The sequence below is a fragment of the Homo sapiens genome, chromosome 1 (assembly GCF_000001405.40).
Source record: "Homo sapiens chromosome 1, GRCh38.p14 Primary Assembly".
NCBI classification, from domain to species: Eukaryota; Metazoa; Chordata; class Mammalia; order Primates; family Hominidae; genus Homo; species Homo sapiens.
This window is the reverse complement of record NC_000001.11, coordinates 95,294,722-95,298,208: the sequence shown is the minus strand read 5'-3', so window position 1 is coordinate 95,298,208 and position 3,487 is coordinate 95,294,722. Positions and strand designations below refer to the sequence as shown.

General features: G+C 43.8%; 1 annotated feature.

Annotated features, from left to right (window-relative positions):
* Nucleotides 203-793: an enhancer, noted in NCBI's record as "H3K27ac-H3K4me1 hESC enhancer chr1:95762972-95763562 (GRCh37/hg19 assembly coordinates)". NCBI's record gives its function as "activates a minimal SCP1, AML or CMV promoter by ChIP-STARR-seq in naive H9 embryonic stem cells {active_cell/tissue: H9 hESC(naive)}" and the evidence as "EXISTENCE:reporter gene assay evidence [ECO:0000049][PMID:30033119]".

Genomic DNA, 3,487 nt, shown 5'->3' with positions numbered 1-3,487 from the left:
GTGAGCGACGCAGAAGACGGGTGATTTCTGCATTTCCATCTGAGGTACCAGGTTCATCTCACTAGAGAGTGCCAGACAGTGGGCGCAGGCCACTGGGTGCGCGCACCATGCGCGAGCCAAAGCAGGGCGAGGCATTGCCTCACTCGGGAAGCGCAAGGGGTCAGGGAGTTCCCTTTCCTAGTCAAAGAAAGGGGTGACGGATGGCACCTGGAAAATCGGGTCACTCCCACCCTAATACTGGGCTTTTCCGACGGGCTTAAAAAATGGTGCACCACGAGATTATATCCCACACCTGGCTCGGAGGGTCCTACGCCCACGGAGTCTCGCTGATTGCTAGCACAGCAGTCTGAGATCAAACTGCAAGGCAGCAGCGAGGCTGGGGGAGGGGCGCCCGCCATTGCCCAGGCTTGCTGAGGTAAACAAAGCAGCCGGGAAGCTCGAACTGGGTGGAGCCCACCACAGCTCAAGGAGGCCTGCCTGCCTCTGTAGGCTCCACCTCTGGGGGCCGGGCACAGACAAACAAAAAGACAGCAGTAACCTCTGCAGACTTAAATGTCCCTGTCTGACAGCTTTGAAGAGAGCAGTGATTCTCCCAGCACACAGCTGGAGATCTGAGAATGGGCAGACTGCCTCCTCAAGTGGGTCCCTGACCCCTGACCCCCGAGCAGCCTAACTGGGAGGCACCCCCCAGCAGGGGCACACGGACACCTCACACAGCAGGGTATTCCAACAGACCTGCAGCTGAGGGTCCTGTCTGTTAGAAGGAAAACTAACAAACAGAAAGGACATCCACACCAAAAACCCATCTGTACATCACCATCATCAAAGACCAAAAGTAGATAAAACCACAAAGATGGGGAAAAAACAGAACAGAAAAACTGGAAACTCTAAAAAGCAGAGTGCCTCTCCTCCTCCAAAGGAACGCAGTTCCTCACCAGCAATGGAACAAAGCTGGATGGAGAACGACTTTGACGAGCTGAGAAAAGAAGGCTTCAGACGATCAAATTACTCTGAGCTACGGGAGGACATTCAAACCAAAGGCAAAGAAGTTGAAAACTTTGAAAAAAAATTTAGAAGAATGTCTAACTAGAATAACCAATACAGAGAAGTGTTTAAAGGAGCTGATGGAGCTGAAAACCAAGGCTCGAGAACTACGTGAAGAATGCAGAAGCCTCAGGAGCCGATGCGATCAACTGGAAGAAAGGGTATCAGCGATGGAAGATGAAATGAATGAAATGAAGCGAGAAGGGAAGTTTAGAGAAAAAAGAATAAAAAGAAATGAGCAAAGCCTCCAAGAAATATGGGACTATGTGAAAAGACCAAATCTACATCTGATTGGTGTACCTGAAAGTGACGGGGAGAATGGAACCAAGTTGGAAAACACTCTGCAGTATATTATCCAGGAGAACTTCCCCAATCTAGCAAGGCAGGCCAACGTTCAGATTCAGGAAATACAGAGAACGCCACAAAGATACTCCTCGAGAACAGCAACTCGAAGACACATAATTGTCAGATTCACCAAAGTTGAAATGAAGGAAAAAATGTTAAGGGCAGCCAGAGAGAAAGGTCGGGTTACCCTCAAAGGGAAGCCCATCAGACTAACAGCGGATCTCTCGGCAGAAACCCTACAAGCCAGAAGAGAGTGGGGGCCAATATTCAACATTCTTAAAGAAAAGAATATTCAACCCAGAATTTCATATCCAGCCAAACTAAGCTTCATAAGTGAAGGAGAAATAAAATACTTTACAGAGAAGCAAATGCTGAGAGATTTTGTCACCACCAGGCCTGCCTTAAAAGAGCTCCTGAAGGAAGCACTAAACATGGAAAGGAACAACCGGTACCAGCCGCTGCAAAATCATGCCAAAATGTAAAGACCATCGAGACTAGGAAGAAACTGCATCAACTAAAGAGCAAAATAACCAGCTAACATCATAATGACAGGATCAAATTCACACATAACCATATTAACTTTAAATGTAAATGGACTAAATGCTCTAATTAAAAGACACAGACTGGCAAATTGGATAAACAGTCAAGACCCATCAGTGTGCTGTATTCAGGAAACCCATCTCACGTGCAGAGACACATAGGCTCAAAATAAAGGGATGGAGGAAGATCTACCATGCAAATGGAAAACAAAAAAAGGCAGGGGTTGCAATCCTAGTCTCTGATAAAACAGACTTTAAACCAATAAAGATCAAAAGAGACAAAGAAGGCCATTACATAATGGTAAGGGATCAATTCAACAAGAAGAGCTAACTATCCTAAATATATATGCACCCAATACAGGAGCACCCAGATTCATAAAGCAAGTCCTGAGTGACCTACAAAGAGACTTAGACTCCCACACATTAATAATGGCAGACTTTAACACCCCACTGTCAACATTAGACAGATCAACAAGACAGAAAGTCAACAAGGATACCCAGGAATTGAACTCAGCTCTGCACCAAGCAGACCTAATAGACATCTACAGAACTCTCCACCCCAAATCAACAGAATATACATTTTTTTCAGCACCACACCACACCTATTGCAAAATTGACCACATACTTGGAAGTAAAGCTCTCCTCAGCAAATGTAAAAGAACAGAAATTATAACAAACTATCTCTCAGACCACAGTGCAATCAAACTAGAACTCAGGATTAAGAATCTCACTCAAAACCGCTCAACTACATGGAAACTGAACAACCTGCTCCTGAATGACTACTGGGTACATAATGAAATGAAGGCAGAAATAAAGATGTTCTTTGAAACCAACGAGAACAAAGACACAACATACCAGAATCTCTGGGACGCATTCAAAGCAGTGTGTAGAGGGAAATTTATAGCACTAAATGCCCACAAGAGAAAGCAGGAAAGATCCAAAATTGACACCCTAACATCACAATTAAAAGAACTAGAAAAGCAAGAGCAAACACATTCAAAAGCTAGCAGAAGGCAAGAAATAACTAAAATCAGAGCAGAACTGAAGGAAATAGAGACACAAAAAACCCTTCAAAAAATTAATGAATCCAGGAGCTGGTTTTTTGAAAGGATCAACAAAATAGATAGACCACTAGCAAGACTAATAAAGAAAAAAAGACAGAAGAATCAAATAGACGCAATAAAAAATGATAAAGGGGATATCACCACCGATCCCGCAGAAATACAACTACCATCAGAGAATACTACAAACACCTCTACACAAATAAACTAGAAAATCTAGAAGAAATGTATAAATTCCTCGACACATACACTCTCCCAAGACTAAACCAGGAAGAAGTAGAATCTCTGAATAGACCAATAACAGGATCTGAAATTGTGGCAATAATCAATAGCTTACCAACCAAAAAGAGTCCAGGACCAGATGGATTCACAGCCGAATTCTACCAGAGGTACAAGGAGGAACTGATACCATTCCTTCTGAAACTATTCCAATCAATAGAAAAAGAGGGAATCCTCCCTAACTCATTTTATGAGGCCAGCATCATTCTGATACCAAAG